The sequence below is a fragment of the Homo sapiens genome, chromosome 2, assembly GCF_000001405.40.
Source record: "Homo sapiens chromosome 2, GRCh38.p14 Primary Assembly".
In the NCBI taxonomy this organism is placed as follows: Eukaryota; Metazoa; Chordata; class Mammalia; order Primates; family Hominidae; genus Homo; species Homo sapiens.
Genome location: NC_000002.12, coordinates 8893422 through 8919459, shown reverse-complemented (window position 1 = coordinate 8919459; position 26038 = coordinate 8893422). Strand labels below are relative to the sequence as shown.

The window sequence follows — 26038 nt, the reverse complement described above, 5'->3', positions numbered from 1 at the left end:
ATAAAATTAAAACTATTTTATATAATAACAACTATATATCCACTAGAATGGATGTAATTTAAAAGACTGACAATACCCAGCATTAGTGAGGATATGAAGAAACTAGAATCTTCATACGTTGCTTACAGGAACATAAAAATTGTAGTCACTTTGGAAAACATTTTGGTTGAAAGTTAAACATTAACTTACCATATGCCCTGAAAATTCTGTTGTTAGGTTTCTACCCAGGGTGAAAACGTATGTCCACATAGAGTAGCACTATTCATAATAGCTAAAAGCTTCAAACAGCCCAAATATTCACCGGCTGGTGAAAGGATAAACGAAATGTGGCATGTCCATACAATGGAATACCATTCGGCAGTTTACAAAGGAACAAACTGCTGATATATGCTGCAACATGGAGGAACCTCAAGAGCACGGTAAGTGGAAGAAGCCAGATACAAAAGACTACATATTGTTTTATTTTATTTACATGAGACTCCCAGAAAAGACAGATCTAGAGACAGAAAATGATCGGTGGTTGCCTAGGGTTGAGGGTACAATTAGGGATTACTGCAAGTAACCACAAGGGAACTCTTGGGGCAGCGGTCTTGCAGTGATGGTCACACAACTCTACACATTTACTAAAAATTGTTGAATTATACACTTACAATAAGTAAATTTCATGGTGTGTGAATTATACCTCAATAAAGCTGTTTAATAAAAAGGCTATTTGAGCGAGGCTTGCAAGCCTTTTAGGCCTGGAGCAGTAACAGCTCCTTAATTCACTGTTCCTTCTGCCTTTCTGATAGGAACTATAATTCAGGTTAAACAAATATGGGCACACCTGTTCTATTGCACTCCATTTTATTTTATTGCACTCCATTTATTTATTGCACCATAGATACTGCCTTTTTTCTTTTTATTAAACAAACAGAAAGTTTGTGGCATCCCTGCACCCAGCAAATCCATCAGTGCTGGTTTCCAGTAACATGTGTTCACTTAGTGTCTCTGTGTTACATTTGATAATTCTGACACTTCAGACTTTATTATCTCTGTTATGGTGATCTGAGATCAGTGATCTTTGATGTTACCATTGTAATTGTTTAGAGGCACTGCACACTGTGCCCATTTCCTCTTGAAAATGAATGTAAATGGAGAAAAGATGCAAACTGAACCCTGGGACCCCAGGATAAGAAGGAATCTGCAAAGGGCTTGTGCAAAAATTGTTTGTTTCCAAATAATTTCTTAATCAGTTTTATTTAAGTACGACTTATCTAAAATAAAATAAAGCTGCCTGTTCCATGAGCTTGGACAAACATGTAGACTGGTGTGACTTCCACCCTAAATCTAGATATAGCACATTTCACTTGTCCCTAAAAGTTCCTTTGTGATCCTTTGCAATCAGTCCATCCTGTCTCCTGCAACCAATGATCTGCTTTCTGTCACCATAGATCAATTTAGCCTGCTCTAGAATTTCATAGCAACGGAATCATACATTATGTAATCTTTTGTGTCTGGCATTTTTTACTCAGCTTAATGTTTAAAAAACTCATCCCTGTTGTTGTGTTTCACAGTTTGTTCCTTTTTATTCCATTGTATTAATATATCTCAATTTATGTATCCTTTCACCTATTAATGGACATTTGAGTTGTTTAAAAATTCAAAAATGGGCTATTAGGAGTAAAACTTCTGAAACATTCTTCAAGTATTTTTGTTGATACATATTTTCATTTCTCTTGTGTAAATACCTAGGAGAGGAATTGCTGGAGCATCGAATAAAAATATTTTAATCCAGTAAGAAATTGCCAAACTTCCCAAAGTGATTGTAGCATTCTACACTCCCACTGGCAGTGTATGCGAGCGCCAGTTCCTTTCTGTTCCCACCAGCAGTTGGTGTTCTCAGCCTTTTCCATGGTGCTCATTCTGACAGATATGGTGATATTTCATTATGATTTTAATTTAGATTTCTCTGATGATTAATGATGTCAAACATTTTTTTCCTGTACTGTTTGACTAATTGTGTATCTTCTTTTGGGACATTTTGTTCATATCTGTTGACTGTTGGGTTTAATTTTTTTTTATAATTCATTATTTCTATGTTTTGGATATAAGTCCTTTGTCAGATAGATAAATTATGAAAATTTTTTTCAACCTATGTTTGCCTTTTCCTTTCCTTAGTGGTGAATTTTGAAGAGCAGAACTTTTAAATTTTGATGAAGTGAATTTAATTTTTTAGTTTGGAGCTTTTTATCTTTTACTAAGAAACCTGTGCCTGCCCTTGGTTTATGAATAATTTCTCCTAGAAGTTTTACAGTTCTAGTTTTTATGCCTAGATCAATGATCCATATTGAGTTAATTTTTGTGTATGTTAAGAGACAAGGGTTGAAATTTATTTTTTCTATATGTATATTCATTTGTCCCAGCACTATTTGTTGCAAATACTTTTTCCTTTTGAATTGCAATTCACCATCTATGTATGGCTTTATTTCTGTACTCTTTATTCTGTTCATTGATCTATGTGTCTGACCTTAGGCCAGTGTCATACTGTCTTGGTTACCGAAGCTTCATACTTAGTCTTGAAATCAGGTAATGTAATTCCCCTAACTTTTCAATAAGTGCATAAAACACTATAAAACAAAAGGTACATAGTAAACAGTCTTGGAAAATATAAACAGAGGGGAAGGCAGAATAGAGATAAAAAAGTTAGTATTCAAATGTGCAAGCCTTTTATGCAGTTGGGCTACAACCAAAGCCGTCTAAGCCTGAGAACCTTGGAGTAAACCGTTTAATTTGATTTCATCGTGTTAAAACAAACACTCATTTGTTAGTTTTTGTTTTCATTCCCATCAGGATTTTGAACCTTTTGGTGACATCACCTGTTTTTCCTTTTTTGAGAAGAATTCGTTTTTAGTTCTCTTCAGCAGTTCTAGTTCATTAATTCCCATAGTTGCTGCTACATGGGAATTAGCAATTTCCCTGAGCAATTTCCACTCTATATCCAACACGTAAGTGAACAGATATTTTAGATGTGGTTTCACCTTTTGAAATGAGGCAGCAATTCAACAGTTCTTATGCAATGAATAAGAAAATGTTCCGTTCTAGAACTCTACAGAAGCTGTTGATTTTATTTTGATATTAGTAATAATCATATCTGAATTCTTTTGGCTGTGAAGAGCAGAAATCCCAATTTATAGTAGTATCTGAATGGTGTAAACAGCAGAGAAAGTTACCTCTCGAAGCTGGAAGTCACGAGACAAGGCACCTCATTTTCATTAATTCAACAGCTCAGTGTTGATGAGGGCGTCAAAACACCAAGTTCTGTTTTTTATTTTGCCATCTCAGCATATTGACTTTGTCCTCAGGCTAGCTCCTTGTAAGCTAAAGATGGACCCTGCACATGTAGACGTGCCAACAGCAAGTGTCACACTAAGAGTAAGAAAGGCCTTTCCAAAAGCTCTGTGTCATGCTTCATCAACCAGACCTAAGTTTTCTGCCTCCCATAAACCAGTCAGTTGCAAGGAGGGTGAGATGACAGTGATGGGGATACCATAGCCAGGATCCCTGGAATAGTACGTCCACCTTTTAGAAGTGAGAGAACCAGGATGCAGAAGGATAGTCACTTTCTAAGGTCACACAGGTAGGAATAATAAAAAGTGATTGGGACTGTTATTTAAATCCAGTCCAGGTCGGTCTGGATTTTATTTGCATGTATATTCTTCTATTTGAAGACATTCAGTGAAATTCATAAATGGACTGTGGCACTGAAAATAATTTGTGCACATAGTAGCTTATATGTCTGCTTTCTCTGCTGATGTGTGAACTTGAAAAATCAAAGGCTTTCCCCAACACCCTTCCCTGCAGTCTAATTTAAAAGACAAGATAGCAACAAAAGTTTGATGTGCTTTTGGAGGAGTACAGACAGTAAACAAAACAAAACAAAACAAAAAAACCCCCACCACCTAGAATTCTTTCTCAAGTTAGATTGTCCAGAGCCAATATAGCAGCTCAACAATGTCATTAAAGAACCAGGTTTCCTCCCTTGTTCTGACTCTCAGCTGATTACCTCATGGGTGCAAGATGGCTGCTACAGCAGCCATCAGATCCATATTCTAGGTAGAGAGAATGGCAAAAATGTGAAAAGCCCCACCAGCTGGGTCCGTTTTCCTTTTTTCAGGAAAACTATTTAGTACTTTGTGATAGAAATACAATGCAAGCCACAGATATAATTTAAAACTTTCCGGCTGGGCACGGTGGCTCATGCTTGTAATTCCAGCACTTTGGGAGGCTGAGGCAGGTGGATCACTTGAGGTCAGGAGTTCAAGACCAGCCTGGCCAATATGGTGAAACCTTATCTCTACTAAAATTACAAAAATTAGCTGGGTGTGATGGCGGGTACCTGTAGTCTCAGCTACTCGGGAGGCTGAGGCAGGAGCATCTCTTGAACCTGGGAGGTGGAGGTTGCAGTGAGCCGAGATTGCGCCACTGCACTGCAGCCTGGGTGACAGCAAGACTCCATCTCAAAAAAAAAAAAAAAAAAAAAAAAGAAATTTCCAGTAGTCACAGTTTAAAAACTGAAAAAAAAGCACATTAAGTAATATATTTTAGTAATAACATTTCATTTTACCCAATATAGCCAAAATAATATCATTTCAAGTGTAATCAATGAAAACAATTTTTGTTTTTATACTTAGTCTTCAAAATCTGGGGTTTATTTTACAATTGCAGCTTATCTCAGTTTGTGCTAGCCACATTTCAAGAGCTCAGTAACTACATGTGGCTAGTTGGGGTATATTGGTAAGTAACAACTAACTGGCTTTCTAGGAAAAAAATGCATAAATATGCATACATGAGTTTATTGTAAATTTTACAAATTTAACAGACTTTTAGTGCACAATTGACAAATAATAATGATAATAGAATATTCTTTATTTTCAATTCCGTATAGCTCGTTGATTCTCACAAAACACTTTCATTGTTTTTTTTTTTTTCCTGAACTCTCACAGCTAACTTATGGCTGCAATTCAACTGTAATTTGACAAAAATGACTATAAATAAATGCTTGGTTACTGTCCTATTTAGTAAAGTAGTTGTTCACATTATTGGCAAATGAATGTAGTTCCAATATGAATGTTGGTTAATATTTTTGCTTATGTTAATGAGATTGTTTTTGTTTTTTTGTTTGTTCGTTTTCTGTTTATGCTGTACTGGCTACAGTCATGATACACTGTATCATGGTGCACCCATCACCCAAGCAGTATACACTGTACCATATTTGTAGTCTTTTATCCCTCACACCCCTCCCACTCTTCCTCCCAAGTCCCCAGAGTCCATTGTATCATTCTGATGCCTTTGCATCCTCATAGCTTAGCTCCCACATATCAGAACATATGATGTTTTGTTTTCCATTCCTGAGTTACTTCACTTAGAATAATAGTCTCCAGTCTCATCCAGGTTACTGCAAATGCTGTTAATTCATTCCTTTTTATGGCCGAGTAGTATTCCATCGTATATATATACCGCAGTTTCTTTATCCACTTGTTGATTGGTGGGCATTTGGGTTGGTTCCACGATTTTGCAATCGTGAATTGTGCTGCTATAAACATGCATGTGCAAGTATCTTTTTCAAATAATGACTTTTTTTTCCTCTGGGTAGATACCCAGTAGTGGGATTGCTGGATCAAATGGTAGTTCTACTTTTAGTTCTTTAAGGAATCTCCACACTGCTTTCCATAGTGACTGTACTAGTTTACATTCCCACCAGCAGTGTAGAAGTGTTCCCTGAGCACTGCATCCACACCAGTATCTACTGTTTTTTTAATTATGACCATTCTTGCAGGAGTAAGGTGGTATCACATTGTGGTTTTGATTTGCATTTCCCTGATCATTAGTGATGTTGGGCATTTTTTCATATGTTTGTTGGCCATTTGTATATCTTCTTTTGAGAATTGTCTATTCATGTCCTTAGCCCACTTTTTGATGGGATTGTTTGTTTTTTTTCTTACTGATTGAGTTCGTTGTAGATTCTGGATATTATTTCTTTGTTAGATGTATATAGATTGTGAGGATTTTCTCTGTGGGTTGCCTGTTTACTCTGCTGACTGTTCCTTTTGCCATGCAAAAGCTCTTCAGTTTAAATAGGTCCCAACTATTTATCTTTGTTTTTATTGCTTTGCTTTTGGGTTCTTGGTCATGAAATCCTTGCCTAAGCCAAAGTCTAGAAGGGTTTTTCCAATGTTATCTTCTAGAATTTTTATAGTTTCAGGTCTTAGGTTTAAGTCCTTAATCCATCTTGAGTTGATTTTTGTATAAGGTGAGAGATGAGGATGCAGTTTCATTCTCCTACATGTGGCTAGCCAATTATCCATTTGTTGAAAAGGGTGTCCTTTCCTCATTTTACGTTTTTGTTTGCTTTGTTGAAGATCAGTTGGCTGTAAGTATTTGGGTTTATTTATGGGTTCTCTATTCTGTTCCATTGGTTTGTGTGCCTATTTTTATGCCAGTACCATGCTGTTTTTGTGACTATGGCCTTATAGTATAGTTTGAAATCAGGTAGTGTGATGCTTTCAGATTTGTCCTTTTTGCTTAGTCTTGCTTTGGCTATGCGGGCTCTTTTTTGGTTCCATATGAATTTTAGAACTGCTTTTTCTAACTCTGTGAAGAATGATGGTGGTATTTTGATGGGGATTGCATTGAATTTGTAAATTGCTTTTGGAGTATGGTCATTTCCGTAATACTGATTCTACCCATCCATGAACATAGGATGTGTTTCCATTTGTTTGTGTCGTCTATGATTTCCTTCAGCAGTGTTTTGTAGTTTTCCTTGTAGCGGTCTTTTGACTCCTTGGTTAGGTATATTCCTAAGTATTTTATTTTTTTGCAGCTGTTGTAAAAGGGGTTGAATTACTAATTTGGTTCTCCGCTTTGTTGCTGTTGGTGTATAGAAGAGCTACAGATTTGTGTACGTTAATCTTGTATCCAGAAAACTTTGCTGAATTCTTTTATCAATAAGTTATAGGAACTTTCTGGAGGAGTCCTTAGGGTTTTCAAGGCCGGCCGGCCTGTCTTTCTTTCTTTCTTTCTTTCTTTCTTTCTTTCTTTCTTTCTCTTTCTTTCTTTCTTTCTTTCTCTTTCTTTCTTTCTTTCTTTCTTTCTTTCTTTCTTTCTTTCTTTCTTTCTTTTCTTTCTTTTCCTTCTGTCTTTCTGTCTTTCTCTATGTCTGTCTGTCTTTCTTATTGATTTGGCTAGGACTTCCAGTACTATGTTGAAGAGGAGTGTGGAGAATGGGCATCCTTGTCTTGTTCCTGTTCTCAGTGAGAATGCTTTCAACTTTTCCCCATTCAGTATTATGTTGGCTGTGGGTTTGTCATAGGTGGCTTTTATTACATTAAGGTATGTCCCTTGTATACCAATTTTGATGAGGGTTTTAATCATAAAGGTATGCAGGATATTTGTCAAATCGTTTTTCTGCATCTGTTGAGATATCATGTGATTTTTGTTTTTAATTCTGTTTATGATTTGCACTGTATTCTATTGGTAAAAATAAATTATTAAGTCTAGCATAGATTCAAGGGGGTGGGACGGCAAAGTGTCTTAATGTAATGTTTCTATAAAGGAATACCTGAGGCTGGGTAATTTATAGAGAAAAGGTTTATTTGGCTTGGGGTTCTGATGGTTACAAAGTTCAACATTGAGCATCTGCCCCTGGTGAAGGCCTTAGGCTGCTTCTACATGTGGCAGAAGGTAAAGGGGAGCCAGTGTGTGCAGAGACCACGTGGCCAGAGAGGAGGAAAGAGCGGTGAGGTGCCAGGCTGTTTTTAACAACCAGTTCTCAAGGGAATAAATAAAGTGAGAACTCACTCACCTTCTCATCCCCCAGGGAAGGCATTCATCTATTCATGAGGGATCTGCCCCCATGACCCAAACACCTCCCATTAGGCCCCACCTCCAGCATTAGAGATTAGATTTCTACATGAAGTTTTAGAGGAGACGAACATCCCAACCATAGCAAGAATTTTCTTTCAGCTCTTGATGTAAAGAGTTAGACATGTGCAACAGGGAGGGATGTTATTGATGGCAGCAGTCTTGAAAAACAGCCAGTCCTCTGGCCCCCACAGTTCACATGAATCCTACATGAAAGTTTACCCACTTTCCTCCCAAGATCCCCAAAGTCTCATTTCATTAGGGAATCAAGCTCAAGTTCTTGATCTTGTCATCTAAGTCAGGTCTGGATGAGGGTTGTTGGAGTGGGTCCTCAAGTACAGTTCTTTTTGATTTGAGGACCAGTGGACTAATGGACAAGTGTTTTGCCCCTCACACACCTAGTATCCAGTGATGATCAGCCATAGGACAACTGTAGGAGACATTATTGTTAATGAAAATGATTGGACTGTAAGGCGCTTCTCAGTCCCTAGTCCATGGTGATTGTGAAATCTAGACAGATATGTGTGATCAGTTCCTTGATTTAGGGCCCAGACCCAGTCCCTCTAGTGCATCTGTGTGGTGTTTGGCTTCATCCTCTGAGCTCTTGACTCCACACCCTGAACTAGTCGTTCTTTTTCATAAGAAATTGCCAGGTTTTACATTTGAATAGCTTTCCTAGACTGCTTCCTGTGGGTAAAATTTGGGGACCTAAACATCTCTTTTCATTTTGAACTGTCTCTCCTTTTCAGTCTAATATTTTACAAGCCCATTAGAAAACTATGTGGGCTTCCTGTGTATCTAATTGTAATCCTCTACATTAGACAGAAACTACACCCACAAATCTCTTTTAGACAGCCTCCTTTCTACTTTGAGAGTTGGGGTGCTGTGTGACAACACCCTTGGGGTTCTTAAAAACTTTTTTTTATCTATCAGAGAATGTCTAAGAGGCATGTGCTTAGGATTCTTAGAAACGGCTTCTTATCTGACATGTTCCATAAAGGTGTTTGGTTATAGTAGCACCCCATTTTCAGTTACCAGTTTCTGTTTTGATTATGTCATTACATCAAAACATAGTGGCTTAAAACAAATTGATACTCTGTATTAGGTTGCTTATGACTGTGGATAAGCAGTTCAGGAAGGGTTCAACTGGATAGCATCATCTCTTTTTCATGTGGAATCAGCTTCCTCACTCACATGTCTAACCACTTGGTGCTCCTTAGTGCCTCACTCTCCATCTCCACGCTGCTCCTCTCTCCTTCACCCCTCTTTCCTTCCTTCCTTGTCCCCTAGATGTGTGTGATCAGTTCCTTGATTAGGACCTACACCCAACCCAATCCCCAACCCTTCCTTTATCCCACCTTTTCTCTCTTGTTCTTTCTCTCTCTCTGTCTTTCTCTGGATCGTCTCTCATCCTCCAGAATCTCTACATGCAGTGGTCTCAGGATGGTCACACTTCTTCCCAACAACCAACTTCTAAAAGGCAAAAAGTAGAAACTCCCAGGTTAATTATGGTTCACACCTGGAACTAGCAAAATGTTGCTTCTGTAATCCGCTGGTCTGTGCAGTTAGAAGGCCAGCCCACAGAAGTGGGCAATTAGAGGTGGGCAGCGAGGTAGACTCCTCCTCTTGACGGGGAGCAGGACAGACTGCAGAAGAGTGTATAAAATGGGAGATACTGTTTTGGGCATCTTTGGAAAGTGCAGTCTGCCACATGATTTTTAGAAATTATTTAAAATTTGATTTCTCAATGCTTTGTGTATGGGTATCCATATGTGCTATTTTTGTCAGATACAGCAATCATGAATATATTAACTTTGTTAAACATTTGAATTAGGAAGCTTTCCTTCCCTGTTCTTTGCTCAGGAATAATTCAAAAGATTATAATTAACTATTTGTCAAAAGTTTGAAAGAACTTTCATAAAACCACCTGAACTGCCTACATGACAAAGATTTTTATTTGGTCAAATTTTTTTTTAGTTAAAGGTTTTTTTCTCCCTTGATTTCTCCTATATCATATATTGCTTAGAAAGTCCTTCCCCAATTTCAGAACATTTGAATATTTAGTCACAGTTACTATTTGTTGTACTTGTATATTTTACATATAATTCATTAATCCACATAGAATTGTTTCGGTGTGAGATGAAGGCATAGCTTGCTTTTCCCCACCCAGACTGTGAACCAATTAGATGACAACTCATCCATTCCCTGATAATTTGCATTGCAGCCTTCATCCTATTCAATGTTAAATATTCTGGAGTCTGTTTCTGGGTTTCTGTTCTCTCCTGTTGATATATAAGTTCTTTTTCCCATGCTATGTTTTTAATTGTAACTATATTCCAAGCATCTTAAGTTTATAGAAATCAGTAAGTGTTCATGGCTATGAAATGTGTGTAAATGCCACCCGACTCATACTTAGAAGGTATGCTTTTAGACTATCGAGGACAGGTTTTTTTCAAAATTCTATTAAGAATTTGTTGAATGTATACCTTAGCCAAATATTTTTGTGCTAACTTTTGTGTCCTAGAAAGGAGGAATAAATGGAACACATACTAACCACAGGTTTATGCTTGTGATCCTGATTTCAAATATGTAAAGTGGTGTGTGTATGTCTCTCAGAAGGAAATGAATAAAATGAATTTACCATTGAAGGTGATAGTCAAGTAAACTGAAGTGGATACTAGAAAAGAGTTTTCATAATTTATTAAAGAAGGGTGTTTGTAGAGTAGATCTAGTAATATTTAATTTCTGAACCATATCATTTAGCTAATAAATTACTTTAAAATGTACTCTTTAACAAAATGAGTCTTATTTTCATTAATGTAGCTTATTTTTGTTTTGCAGTTACTGCTTTGTGTTTGCTCTGGGATACCTCACAGTGTGCCAAGTTACTCGAGTCTATATCTTTGACTATGGACAATATTCTGCTGATTTTTCAGGGTAAGATGAAAACTTTGATTCAGTAGCCTGTTTTATCCATTCCAACAAGGTGGTTAAAGGACAAAATATATTTGCATTTAGTAGTTCAAGTGAAAAGCTATTATTAAACATTTTAGTTGAAAATTTCTTTCTAAATTTAGAATTTCTCTCTTGTAAGTAGTCTTTTTAGTACTATCTAAGTCAGTAAGAGCCTTGTTCTGCTTCTTCCTGCCTAATGGAACTTCCTTTGGTTCTTAGGTCCTTGGGCTAGGTCAGTCTGAGTTTCCTAGAGAAGGCGCTCAAGAGTGCGTTTTACTTCTATGCATTTCACCTATTTTCAGTGTTCTCCATTCAACACCAGTATTCAGTTGAGTAGTGGAAATAATTTCTGGCATTTGTTCCTTCAAAGGGGATGTATTTTCTTCCTGGTACTAGATGAATCTTTTTGTCCTGTAACAAAACTGATTATATGTCTGTTGTGAAATAAATGCACAAGCTCTTACGAAGTAACTTGCTTTCCATCTTTATAAAGTGACATCTGCTAACACTTTGGTACCAGATGGGGAAGTTGAAGATAAACCTTTATATACATATATATTTTTTATGTCAAGCTTGACTGCTTTCTCCAGTGAACAAGATACAATAGGCCTGCTTTGGGCTAGTCTCGGGTCATCTGGACAGCGTAAGTAATGAGCAGTAAATCCAGTGTAAGGATAAGTGTGTTGGAAAAATCATGTTACCTCTGAAAAAAAAATTGTTCAGCAATAGAAATGGACCAAAGTTGTATGAGCTCAGGGAAAAAAAATCACTTCTATAAAACAAGAGAGTTTTAGAAGAGAAAGAGGAAATACCTTTTTCTCCCTAATGAGATTAAAGTATATTTTACTACACAGATTTTAAAAATAGGTTCAGATGAAAGGAAATTACATCAAAAACAAATAAAACCCAAGGCCAAAACAAAACAATTTAAATGCACTAAAAAACTAGTTAATCGAAGCTATTGAGTGGAATTGGGAGATACACCTGGAAGGGCAGAAAAGGAGAGCAGATGCTGGCCATCTAGTTTATGGATAGTAGGTATTCCTGGAAAACATTACCTCATGAGCAGGATCAGTAGATACTGGACCACTGTGAAAACCTTCGTGATCTTGAGGAAGTAGCCCAGGTCACATTGTCATCATAGTGTAATGAAATTGGGAAATAGTTATATAAGTTTAAAAGAATTGCAGTCACTTAGAAAATTAAATTCTCCTGAGAATTTGCACCTATATTGGTCTTGTTCATCATGCATCCTAGTGCTTAGCACACGATGGCATTAAATATATATTGAGTCGGGAATAATACTTCAGTACAGAAGAAAGTTGAAAATACAGTGAGAAAAATGGGGGAAAGTAACAGACAACACAAATGGAGAAACTGGAGCCATGTGGGCAAAGCTGTGCCATCTGAAAGAGAAATTAAGAGCTTTGAATACTTGAATTATAATAAGTGAGAAATAAGCATTTATTAATAGTAGAAAATAGAAACAAAAAGCATACTTTTAATTAATTTAGTTTAATGTTGATAACAAATATTAACATTAGCAACTTAAGGTTAACGATACTGTAAAATCATGAATTTTCACACTGACCTTTAGAGTCCTGGGACTCTGCAGGCAGGTTCTGCAGGTGTCGGAGGAGCTCAGCAGATGAGGTTCTAGGTCCTCCAGTCTTGCTTCAGCCACATCTGCTCTGTATTTCTCTAGTTTGTATTTTGGGATTCCGTATATTTCATTAAAAAATATTTTGTTGCTCTTTTAACCATTTGATTTAAAAAGTGATTTACATAGGCAAATTGAATTTATTGTACAACCATGTGGATTGGTGTTACTATAGATTTGTGTGACTCAGTCTTTATTGGGCTCTCACAGCCCCTCCATCAGTTTGATCTTGGTCATTACCCTTTTTATTTTCCTCGTCAGCTATTCCAAATTCTTGGCAGTCTCAAGACCTTTACCTCACATTTCTGTGTTATCTAGGGATAGGCTAACTGCATTTAAAACAGTAACATTATTTCAGTGGCTCAACGTAATAAGAGTTTATTTCTCATTCACATTACAGTTCATTGAGAAGGGAGTCTCTGCTCCACACAGTCATTCAGGGAACCAGACTCCTTCCTTCTTGTGGTTTCACCTCCTTCAGGCTCTGGAATCCTCTAGGTGAAGTTGAGGGCAGGGTGGTGAGTGTGAGCAAAGTGAGGGTGTGCCTGCGCAACACTTGTGCCTGCATCCTGTCAGCAAGCATGAGTCACGTGGCCTCATAGATCATAGGACAATTGACATTAAGAGCATAGTGCATGTTTAAAAAACAGCTGTATAGGACGTGACTTTAGAAGTATTTTGCTGACATTTAAAAGGCTGGGTGTGGTGGCTCATGCCTGTAATCCCAGCACTTTGGGAGGCCAAGGCAGGTGGATCACCTGGGCTCAGGAGTTTGGGCAACATGGCAAAACCCTGTCTCTACTAAAAATACAAAAAATTAAATAGGCATGGTGGCGCATACCTGTAGCCCCAGCTACTCAGGAGGCTGAGGTGGGAAGAGTTGCTTGAGCCCTGGGGGCAGAGGTTGCAGTGAGCTGAGATTGCACCACTGCACTCCAGCCCAGGTGACACAGTGAGAACCTGTCTCAAAAAAATGAAATAAATAAAAATAAAATGCCAGTTAAATACTTAAATGCAATTTTAAATGTTTAAATATGTAGAAGAAAAACAACCTGGACTTTTAAAGATAGAAAACCTGTTTATAAATCTCCAAGTTTAAAGAATAATTTTTATCCATTAGGAGGAAACTTTTTTTATTATTATACTTTAAGTTCTAGGGTACATGTGCACAACGTGCAGGTTTGTTACATACGTATACATGTGCCATGTTGGTTTGCTGCACCCATTAACTTGTCATTTACATTAGGTATTTCTCCTAATGCTATCCCTCCCCCATCCCCCCACCACACAACAGGCCCTGGTGTGTGATGTTCCCCTCCCTATGTCCAAGTGTTCTCATTGTTCACTTCCTACCTGTGAATAACAACATGCGGTGTTTGGTTTTCCATCCTTCTGATAGTTTGCTGAGAATGATGGTTTCCAGCTTCATCCATGTCCCTACAAAGGACATGCATCTCATCCTTTTTTATGGCTGCATAGTATAGGAGAAAACTTTTGACCATTATCAGTGAACTGATAAAGATTAGATAGTCGAATTAGCTGAAGGAGATCATTGTGGCAGAATGAACTTGAAGGCTCTTGTTTTTTTTTGTTTTGTTTTTTAATGGGCACAAGGGAGAAAAAGCCACCTAGAGACAGACTCTCCCCTTAATGAAGTATTCAAGCACAGGGAACCCTTGAATGTGTTATAATACATGAGCAGAAAAGATCCTGACTTGATCCTAATTAGCGTGAATATCATAGCTATTCAGAATGTTAGATGGCTAATAAGGTGGATTGGATAGTGACTCACTCTTGGTGCTGAGCTGGTCTGTTGCTCTGATGCTAGAAAGTGCAAGAAGCAAAGCCCAGACTCTTGCTGAGGAATCAGTGTGAAATCTCTCTTTTATGGGACAGTTTTACTTGCACAAGAGTATGGAGAAACTGCGCGCGTGTGTGTGTGTGTATGTGTAAATTGTTAGGTTTAAGATACATTTAAAATGTTGATTAGATAAAGATAAACTTATACCATAATACATAATACAAGTTTCTGTTTACAGAAAGGTTGAAAAGCTACTGAAGTTGTTTGGTTTCATGTTAGCCTCAGAAAATAGATACAAGAGAAGTATAAAACAACTAAATAGCTTTCTTCATGTCAGCAGTAATCAGTTAGAAAATATGATAGAAAAAGGATCCTATTTCAAAAGCAAGAAAAACCATGAAATGTGTAGTAATATGTGTAAAAAGAAATGTACAGAACCTGTGCAGAAAACTATAAATTGTTACTGTAGAACATAGAGTAACTGGAAAAAAAAATCAGACTGTTTGTTTGAATAATAAAACTCAGTATTGTGACTGGGTGCAGTGGCTCACACCTGTAATACCAACACTTTGGGAGGCCAAGGTGGGAGGATCACTTGAGCTTAGGAGTTCAAGAGCAGCCTGGGCAACATGGTGAAACCCCATCTCTACAAAAAATTTAAAAATTAGCTGGCATGGTGCTGTGTGCCTGTAGTCCCAGCTACTCAGGAGGCTGAAGTGGGAGGATCGCTTGAGTTTCGGAGGTTGAGGCTGCAGTGAGCCATGTTCGCACAACTGTACTCCAGCCTGGGTAACACAGCAAGATCCTATCTCAAAAAAAAAAAAATAAAAAATAAAAACAACCTTCAGTATTATAAAGATACGAATGGGGCTGGGCATGGTGTCTCATGCCTGCAATCTTAGCACTTTGGGAGGCTGAGGCAGCTGGATCACTTGAGGCCAGGAGTTTGAGACCAGCCTGACCAATATGGCAAAACTCGTCTCTACTAAAAATACAAAAATTAGCCACGTGGTGGCGCACAACTGTAATCACAGTTTCTTCGGAGGCTGAGGCACGAGAATCACTGGAACCCAGGAGGTGGAGGTTGCAGTGAGCTGTGATCACACCACTGCACTCCAGCCTGGGCGACAGAGCTGTCTCAAAAAAAATAAAAAATAAAGTAAAATAAAAAAAAAAGATACTGATTCCCCCAAGTTAATCTGTTGATGTTAATGCAGGTAAAATTGTGGAGTCTTGAGGGAAATTAGATAAATAAATTGAAAATTTTTCTCTAGAAGAATAAATGCTTGAGTGTAGTGAAGTTGATATAAAGACATACTGCCGTCTGTAAAGCAGGAGTCATTAAAATATTCTGGACTGACAGGAATAGGCAAACCAAGGAAACCCGGATGAAGGACTGAGAAAGAGACTCACGGATCTAAGAAATTAAAATACAGAACAGCAGTGGTGGGATCAGAAATCCGTGGGGAAAGCTAGGCTGTACTCAGTAAATTGTATTGGGACATTTGGAAAGAGAAGAGAAAGGTGAATCCTTGCCCCAGGTAGAGATAATAGATTGTAGATGGAAGCGAGAACAGATTTTTTGGCAAAAACGTTCTGATTGGAATATGTTGATTTCTGTGGTACTGAAAGAGTTGCTTTTAGTGTACCCACCAAAAAAAAAAATCTATGTGAAATAATTGTTTATTCACATCAAGGATATATCTTAGAGCTAACTGAACCGTATCAGAGGCTTGGTAAATGTTTACTACTGCTCAGTCGTGTGTGCTCCTTCACTAAGGTTTATTAAGCAGGCACTGTGCATTTTGCTAAGTTCTTGAAGGCTGAGCCAGGTACTTTTGTAGGCAGCATTTTTTTCAAGTATAAGAAGAAGTGATAGACCATGTGATCTTGAGAGGTGAAGCCAGCTGGGCTTCTGGGTCGGGTGGGGACTTGGAGAACTTTTCTGTCAAGCTAAAGGATTGTAAATGCACCAATCAGTGCTTTGTGCCTAGTTAAAGGTTTGTAAATGCACCAGTCAGCGCTCTGTGTCTAGCTAATCGGGTGGGGACTTGGAGAACTTTTGTGTCTAGCTCAAGGATTGTAAATGCACCAATCAGCATTCTGTGTCTACCTAAAGGATTGTAAACGCACCAATCAGCACTCTATAAAACGGACCAATCAGCACTCTGTAAAATGGACCAGTCAGCACTCTGTAAAATTGACCAATCAGCAGGATGTGGGTGGAGCCAAATAAGGGAATAAAAGCAGGCCACCCGAGCCAGCAGCAGCAACCCACTTGTGTCCCCTTCCACGCTGTGAAGGCTTTTTGTTCTTTTGCTCTTCACAATAAATCTTGCTGCTGCTCACTCTTTGGGTCCCCGCCACCTTTATGAGCTGTTAACACTCACCGTGAAGGTCTGCAGCTTTACTCCTGAAGTCAGTCAGACCATGAACCCACTGGGAGGAATGAGCAAGTCCAGATGCACTGCCTTTATGAACTGTAACAGTCACCGCAAAGGTCTACAGCTTCACTCCTGAAGTCAGTGAGACCACGAACCCACCGGGAGGAATGAACAACTCCAGACGCACCGCCTTTAAGAGCTGTAACAGTCACCACGAAGGTCTGCAGCTTCACTCCTGAAGTCAACAAGGCCACGAACCCATCAGAAGGAAGAAAGTCCGGACACGTCCGAACATCAGAAGGAACAAACTCCGGACACACCATCTTTAAGAACTGTAACACTCACTGCAAGGGTCCGCGGCTTCATTCTTGAAGTCAGCTTGACCAAGAACCCACCAATTCCAGACACATTTTGGTGACCACAAAGGGACCACTGATTATCGCCAAGTGGTGAGTACCATCGGACCCCTTTCATTTGCTATTTTGTCCTATTTTTCCTTAGAATTTGGGGGCTAAATACTGGGCACCTGTTGGCCAGTTAAAAGCGACTAGCACGGCCGCTGGACTACGGACACGGGTGTCAGGCTTTCTGGAAAAGGGCTCTCTTAACAACCCCTGACTCTTAGGAGTTGGGAGCGTTGGTTTGCCTGGAACCAGCTTCCACTTTTCCTGTACCTCTGGGCTGAGCTGAGGGTTGACAGAGAGGAAAGCCATTCAGCTCCGGGGTCCCGACAACAAGTTGGTTGACCCTGCGGCCATGAGCGGAACTCTCAAAGTCATGTCGCCCAAGCGAGACTCGCCCATCTATCCTATCTATCCTGACCCTTGCCTCCTGGGTCCTAATGCCTGTCAGACAAACTTCCTCTCGCCTCTCTTCTCCAAGGCTAGTCCTGCTTCTAAAAACCACTCCCTGTCTCTGATTCTTTTCTAGTTTCTCCTGTAAGAATGATTTCTAGTATAAACTTCAGGACTCTGTTACCTTCTTTAGGCACCCGGGCTCACCAATCAGAAAGACATAATTTTTGCCCAAAGCCCCATCGTAGGGGGGACTATCTGGAATTTTAGAATCCCTCCTCAGACAAGCAGGCCTAACAAAAACTATTCCTGAAGCTAGGATACGGGGTGCCTCAGAAATTGTATCCTTCCTATTCATATAAGTGAGGACAAAAGGCATCACTCTTGTAACTCTGGAGATCCCTTCCCTCCCTCAGGGTATGGCCCTCCACTTCATTTTTGGGGCATAACATCTTTATAGTACATGGGTAAAGTCCTAATACTAACAGGAGAATGCTTAGGACTCTAACAGGTTTTTGAGAATGTGTCGGTAAGGGCCACTAAATCCAATTTTTCTCGGTCCTCCTTGTGGTCTAGGAGGACAGGCAAGGGTGCACGTTTTTGAGAATGCGTCGGTAAGGGCCACTAAATCTGACCTTCCTTGGTCCTCCTTGTGGTCTAGGAGGAAAACTAATGTTTCTGCTGCTGTGCTGGTGAGCTCAACTATTCTGATCAGCAGGGTCCAGGGACTGTTGCAGGTTCTTGGGCAGGGTTGTTTCTGCTGCTGCATCGGTGAGCGCAACTATTCCAATCAGCAGGGTCCAGGGACCATTGCAGGTTCTTGGGCAGGGGTTGTTTCTACTGCTGCATCAGTGAGCACAACTATTCCGATCAGCAGGGTCCAGGGACTGTTGCAGGTTCTTGGGCAGGGCGAGAAACAAAACAAACCAAAACCATGGGTGGTTTTGTCTTTCAGATGGGAAACACTCAGGCATCAACAGGCTCACCCTTGAAATGCATCCTAAGCCATTGGGACCAATTTGACCCACAAACCCTGAAAAAGAGGCAGCTCATTTTTTTCTGCACTACAGCCTGGCCCCAGTATTCTCTCTCTGATGGGGAAAAATGGCCACCAGAGGGAAGTACAAATTACAATACTATCCTGAAGCTTGATCTTTTCTGTAAGAGGGAAGGCAAATGGAGTGAAATACCTTATGTCTGAGCTTTCTTTTCATTGAAGGAGAATACACAAGTATGCAAAGCTTGAAATTTATATCCCACAGGAGGACCTTTCAGCTTACCGCCATATCCTAGCCTCCCTATAGCTCCCCTTTCTATTAATGATAATCCTCCTCTAATCTCCCCCACTCAGAAGGAAATAAGCAAAGAAATCTCCAAAGTACCACAAAACCCCCCAGGTTATTGGATATGTCTCCTTCAAGCTGTAGGAGGAGGGAAATTTGGCCCAACCTGGGTACATGTCCCCTTCTCCCTCTCTGATTTAAAGCAGATCAAGGCAGACCTGGGGAAGTTTTCAGATGATCCTGATAGGTACATAGATGTCCTACAGGGTCTAGGGCAAACCTTTGAGCTCACTTGGAGAGATGTCATGCTATTATTAGATCAAACCCTGGCCTTTAATGAAAAGAATGCGACTTTAGCTGCAGCCCCAAAGTTTGGAGATACTTGGTATCTTAGTCAAGTAAATGATAGAATGACAGCTGAAGAAAGGGACAAATTCCCTACTGGTCAGCAAGCCATCCCCAGTATGGATCTCCACTGGGACCTCAACTCAGATCATGGGGACTGGAGTCGTAAACATCTGTTGTCCTGTGTTCTAGAAGGACTAAGAAGAATTAGGAAAAAAGCCATGAATTACTCAATGTTGTCCACCGTAACTCAGGGAAAGGAAAAAAATCCTTCTGCCTTCCTTGAACAGCTATGGGGGGCCTTAAGAAAATATACTCCCCTGTCACCCAAATCACTAGAGGGTCAATTGATTCTAAAAGATAAGTTTATTACCCAATCAGCCGCAGATATCAGGAGAAAGCTCCAAAAGCAAGCCCTGGGCCCTGAACAAAATCTGGAGGCATTATTAAACCTGGCAACCTCGGTGTTCTATAATAGGGACCAAGAGGAACAGGCCCAAAAGGAAAAGCGAGATCAGAGAAAGGCCGCAGCCTTAGTCATGGCCCTCAGACAAACAAACCTTGGTGGTTCAGAGAGGACAGAAAATGGAGCAGGCCAATCATCTGGTAGGATTTGTTAAGAGTGTGGTTTACAAGGACACTTTAAAAAAGATTGTCCAATGAGAAACAAGCTACCCCCTCATCCATGTCCGCTATGCAGTGGCAATCACTGGAAGGTGCACTGCTCCATAAGACAAAGGTTCTCTGGGTCAGAAACCCCCAACCAGATGATCCAACAACAGGACTGAGGGTGCCCAGGGCAAGCGCCAGCTCATGTCATCACCCTCACTGAGCCCCAGGTACGGTTTAACCATTGAGGGCCAGGACATTGACTTCCTCCTGGACACTGGCGCGGCCTTCTCAGTGCTAATCTCCTGTCCTGGATGACTGTCCTCAAGGTCCATTACCATCCGAGGAATCCTGGAACAGCCTGTAACCAGGTATTTCTCCCACCTCCTCAGTTGTAATTGGGAGACTTGGCTCTTTTCACATGCCTGCCTTGTTATGCCTGAAAGTCCCACACCCTTATTAGGGAGGGATATATTAGCCAAAGCTGGAGCTATTATCTACGTGAATATGGGGAACAAGTTACCCATTTGTTGTCCACTACTTGAAGAGGGAATCAACCCTGAAGTCTGGGCATTGGAAGGGCAATTTGGAAGGGCAAAAAATGCCCGCCCATTCCAAATCAGGCTAAAAGACCCCACCACTTTTCCTTATCAAAGGCAATATCCCTTAAGACCTGGAGCTCATAAAGGATTGCAAGATATTGTTAAACGTTTCAAAGCTCAAGCCTTAATAAGGAAATGCAGCAGTCCCTGCAACACCCCAATTCTAGGAGTACAAAAACCGAATGGTCAGTGGAGACTAGTGCAAGATCTTAGACTTATCAATGAGGCAGTAATTCCTCTATATCCAGTTGTACCCAACCCCTATAACCTGCTCTCTCAAATACCAGAGGAAGCAGAATGGTTCACTGTTCTGGACCTCAAGGATGCCTTCTTCTGTATTCCCCTGCACTCTGACTCCCAGTTTCTCTTTGCCTTTGAGGATCCCACAGACCACACGTCCCAACTTACGTGGACGGTCTTGCCCCCAGGGTTTAGGGATAGCCCTCCCCTGTTTGGTCAGGCACTGGCCCAAGATCTAGGCCACTTCTCAAGTCCAGGCACTCTGGTCCTTCAGTATGTGGATGATTTACTTTTGGCCACCAGTTCAGAAGCCTCTTGCCAGCAGGCTACTCTAGATCTCTTGAACTTTCTAGCTAATCAAGGGTACTAGGTGTCTAGGTCGAAGGCCCAGCTTTGCCTACAGCAGGCCAAATATCTAGGCCTAATCTTAGCTAGAGGAACCAGGGCCCTCAGCAAGGAATGAATACAGGCTGTACTGGCTTATCCGTGCCCTAAGACATTAAAACAGTTGCGGGGGTTCTTTGGAATCACTGGCTTTTGCCAACTATGGATCCCCGGATACAGCAAGATAGCCAGGCCCCTCTATACTCTAATCAAGGAGACCCAGGGCAAATACTCATCTAGTAGAACGGGAACCAGGGGCAGAAACAGCCTTCAAAAACCTTAAAGCAGGCCCTAGTACAAGCTCCAGCTTTAAGCCTTCCGACAGGACAAAACTTCTCTTTGTATGTCACAGAGGAGCAAGGATAGCTCTTGGAGTCCTTACTCAGACTCGTGGGACAACCCCACAAACAGTGGCATACCAAAGTAAGGAAATTGATGTAGTAGCAAAAGATTGGCCTCACTGTTTACGGATAGTTGTGGCGGTGGCCGTCTTAGTGTCAGAGGCTATCAAAATAATACAAGGAAAGGATCTCACTATCTGAACTACTCGTGATGTAAATGGCATACTAGGTGGCAAAGGAAGTTTATGGCTATCAGACAATTGCCTACTTAGATACCAGGCGCTACTCCTTGAGGGACCAGTGCTTCAGATATGTATGTGTGTGGCCCTCAACCCTGCCACTTTTCTCCCAGAGGATGGGGAACCAATCGAGCATGACTGCCAACAAATTATAGTCTAGAGTTTTGCCGCCCAAGATGACCTCTTAGAAGTCCCCTTAGCTAATCCTGACCTTAACCTATATACTGATGGAAGTTCATTTGTGGAGAATGGGATATGAAGGGCAGGTTATGCCATAGTTAGTGATGTAACCATACTTGAAAGTAAGCCTCTTCCCCCAGGGACCAGTGCCCAATTAGCAGAACTAGTGGCACTTACCCAAGCCTTAGAACTGGGAAGGGGAAAAAGAATAAATGTGTATACAGATAGCAAGTATGCTTATCTAATCCTACATGCCCATGCTGCAATATGGAAAGAAAGGGAGTTCCTAACCTCTGGGGGAACGTTCCCTCCATTAAATACCACAAGGAAACCATGGAGTTATTGCATGCAGTACAGAAACCCAAGGAGGTGGCAGTCTTACACTGCTGAAGCCATCCAAAGGGGAAGGAGAGGGGAGAACAGCAGCATAAGCAGCTGGCAGAGGCAGCAGAAAGGAAAGAGAGAAAGAGACAGAAAGTCAGAGAAAGAGAGAGGATGAAAGAGAGACAAAGAAGGAGACAGAGAGGAAGAGACAAAGATGGAATCAGAGAAAAAGAGAGAAAGAGACACAGAAAGTCAAAGAGAGGAAGAGACAGAGACAAAGAAGTCAAAGAGAGAAGTAGTAAAGAAAAAACAGTGTACCCCTTTCCTTTAAAAGCCAGGGTAAATTTTAAAACCTATAATTGATAATTGAAGGTCTTCTCTATAACCCTGTAACACTCCAATACCACCTTGTTATCAGTGTAAACAAGGGCATAGCCCGAAAGCACTGAGGCCACTGACAGCCCGTAGCCTTCCTATCAAAAATCCTTAACCCAGCAGGTTTCCTAACGGGATCTAAATCTTAATTATCATACAAAGGTCCCATCAGGCATAGGAGGAACTCCCTTCAGGACAGGAGATAGATGGTTCCTCCCAGGCGATTAAGGAAAAAGACACAATGGGTATTCAGTAAGTGATAAGGAAACTATTACAGAAGCAGAGTTAGGAAAATTGCCTAATAATTGGTCTGCTCAAACGTGTGAGCTGTTTGCACTCAGCCAAACCTTAAAGTACTTATAGAATCAGGAAGGAGCCGTCTATACCAATTTTAAGTTAATATGGACTGAACAAGGTCTTATTAATAGCAAAGAAAAATTAAAATCCCAAACTTAACAAGGTTTTCAACTAAAGTAAATTTTGCTAAAAGTTAACAGTGTAACATGCATTATCCTACTGCCACACACTCTCAAAGGATTTCTCAGACAGTTTGCAGGAAGTGACGAAATCTATCCTTACTCTACAATCCCAAATAGACTCTGGCAGCAGTGACTCTCCAAAACCACCGAGGCCTAGACCTCCTCACTGCTGAGAAAGGAGGACTGTGCACCTTCTTAGGGGAAGAGTGTTGTTTTTACACTAACCAGTCAGGGATATTACGAGATGCCACCCGGCCTTTACGGGAAAAGGCTTCTGCAATCAGACAACACCTTTCACAACTCTTTTTTTTTTTTTTTTTTTTTGAGACGGAGTCTCACTCTGTCACCCAGGCTGGAGAGCAATGGCTCGATCTCGGCTCACTGCAAGCTCCACCTCCCGGGTTCACGCCATTCTTCTGCCTCAGCCTCCTGAGTAGCTGGGACTACAGGTGCCTGCCACCACGCCTGGATAATTTTTTTTGCATTTTTAGTAGAGATGGGATTTCACCATGTTAGCCAGGATGGTCTCGATCTTCTGACCTCGTGATCCGCCCGCCTCGGCCTCCCAAAGTGCTGGGATTACAGGCATGAGCCACCGTGCCCGGCTCCCTTTCACAACTCTTATACCAACCTCTGGAGTTGGGCAACATGGCTTCTCCCCTTTCTAGGTCCTGTGACAGCCATCTTGCTATTACTTGCCTTCGTGCCCTTTATTTTTAACCTCTTTGTCAAATTTGTTTCCTCTAGAATCGAGGCCATCAACCTACAGATGTTCTTACAAACGGAACCCCAAATGAGCTCAACTAACAACTTTTCTGGAGGACACTACAGCTGCAGGGCCCCTTCTTCGCTCCTATCCAGCAGGAAGTAGCTAGAGCGGTCATCGGCCAAATTCTCAATAGCAGTTGGGTGTCCTGTTTAGAGGGGGGATTGAGAGGTGAAGCTGGCTGGGCTTCTGGGTTGGGTGGGGACTTGGAGCACTTTTCTGTCTAGCTAAAGGATTGTAAATGCACCAATCAGCACTTTGTATCTAGCTAAAGGTTTGTAAATGCACCAATCAGCGCTCTGTGTCTAGCTAATTGGGTGAGGACTTGGAGAACTTTTGTGTCTAGCTCAAGGATTGTAAATGCACCAACCAGCACTCTGTGTCTAGCTAAAGGATTGTAAACACACCAGTCAGCACTCTGTAAAACGGACCAATCAGCACTCTGTAAAACGGACCAATCAGCACTCTGTAAAACGGACCAATTAGCACTCTGTAAAATGGACCAATCAGCACTCTGTAAAATGGGCCAATCAGCACTCTGTAGAATGGACCTATCAGCACTCTGTAAAATTGACCAATCAGCAGGATGTGGGTGGGGCCAAATAAGGGAATAAAAGCAGGCCAGGTGAGCCAGCAGTGGCTCCCGCTAGGGTCCGTTTCCACGCTGTGGAAGTTTTATTCTTTTGCTCTTCACAATAAATCTTGCTGCTGCTCACTCTTTGGGTCCCCACCGCCTTTATGAGGCGGTAACACTCACCATGAAGGTCTGCAGCTTTACTCCTGAAGTCAGCAAGACCACGAACCCACTGGGAGGAATGAACAACTCCGGACGTGCCGCCTTTATGAACTGTAACACCACGAAGGTCTGCAGCTTCACTCCTGAAGTCGGGGAGACCACGAACCCACTGGGAGGAACGAACAACTCCAGACGTGCCGCCTTTAAGAGCTGTAACACTCACCGTGAAGGTCTGCAGCTTCACTCCTGAAGTCAGCAAGACCACGAACCCACCAGAAGGAAGAAATTCTGGACACGTCTGAACATCAGAAGGAACAAACTCCGGACACACCATCTTTAAGAACTGTCACCGTGAGGGTCTGTGGCTTCATTCTTGAAGTCAGCGAGACCAAGAACCCACCAGTTCTGCACACAATCTGATAGCCACAGGTGTGCTTGTCATGTCCATCACTCCTTTTTAGAAAGTATTATTCACGTTCAGAGTCTAATTGTAGATGTGTTTCTGTGTTCTCTGAAATGAGTCATGGAAGGCCCCCCTTGGCCCTTCATTATCTTCCCCGCACATGGCGCCCAGCAACTGTGTTGTAAATAGGGTCGATATGAATCATTCAACTGCCTGCAAGTAGTGGGCCTTTATCCTGGCCCATTCTGTGGGAGTGTCTCCCAGCCCTTGACCTACGTTTGATTACAGGAAACATTCCGTTTAGCTGCCACTAATGTAATTCAAGTTACCAGGAGTAAACAGAGATGGATCTATTTATGGTTTGCTTTGTCTGTTCCCCACCCTACCGAACCAAGCCTTTCTCCCTGAATGTATGTGTGTTCACAAAGCAGTGTGGTACAAGGTTCGTCAGAAACATGCAGTGTTGTTCTCACTCATAAGTGGGAGTTGAACCATGAGAACACGTGGACACAGGGAGGGGAATATCACGTATCGGGTTCTGTCGGCGGGTGGGGGCTAGGGGAGGGTTAGCATTAGGAGAAATACCTAATGTAGATGAGGGGTTGATGGGTGCAGCATACCACCATGGCACATGTATACCTATGTAACAAACCTGCACGATCTGCACATGTATCCCAGAACTTAGAGTATTAAAAAAAAAAATGCAGTGTTTTCCTGAGGCTGAGAAGCTGGTGACAGGCCTGCAGGGCCTCCTTGATGTGTGCCCTCTCACCTGTTCTTTCTTCTTCAGTTCTGCTGCTTATCCCAGTGTCTCTCCTTGGAACATCCTTCCAGCCATATCTGCATGTCCAAACTTCTGCAGTCTTAAAGGCCCAAACTAAATGACTCTTGTTTGAAATGCATTCCCTCAGCTCTCTCTGTGCAGACCTTCAAATAGCTCACTGGGCAGTGGATACTTTGTTATGTAGTTTATTCACATACCTTTCATTTCCTGTTCTCAAGAGAAAGCTTCTCCAGGAACAGCACTTCCCTTTTGATTATTAGGTCCCTTCAGCGCCACTGGCTTCTTAGCAGTTCTGGCAGTTACTATGCAAAGGTGTGAATGGGAGAAGGGACCCAGCTCCTATTAAACATCTGCTGTGTCTCAGATACTATTGAATTTAATCCACACAGTGGCATTATTATCACTTGTGTTTTATAGGTAACCGTTTTGAGAAAAGTTAAATAACTTCCTTG

At 41.2% G+C, this 26038-nt stretch overlaps 1 protein-coding gene across 13 annotated transcripts in view; it reads left to right on the top strand.

Moving 5' to 3' along the window:
• Positions 1–26038, top strand: part of MBOAT2 (membrane bound glycerophospholipid O-acyltransferase 2) — a 150995-nt gene that overhangs the window by 84225 nt on the left and 40732 nt on the right. For all 13 annotated transcript variants that reach the window (NR_135601.2, NR_135605.2, NR_135600.2 and 10 more), the window contains one exon: positions 10744–10839. Coding sequence is in view for 3 of the 13 variants with exons in the window: in NM_001321265.2 (NP_001308194.1) it covers positions 10744–10839 (96 nt within the window). In the remaining 10 variants the exon portion in view is untranslated. The remainder of the gene's footprint in view (positions 1–10743; positions 10840–26038) is intronic.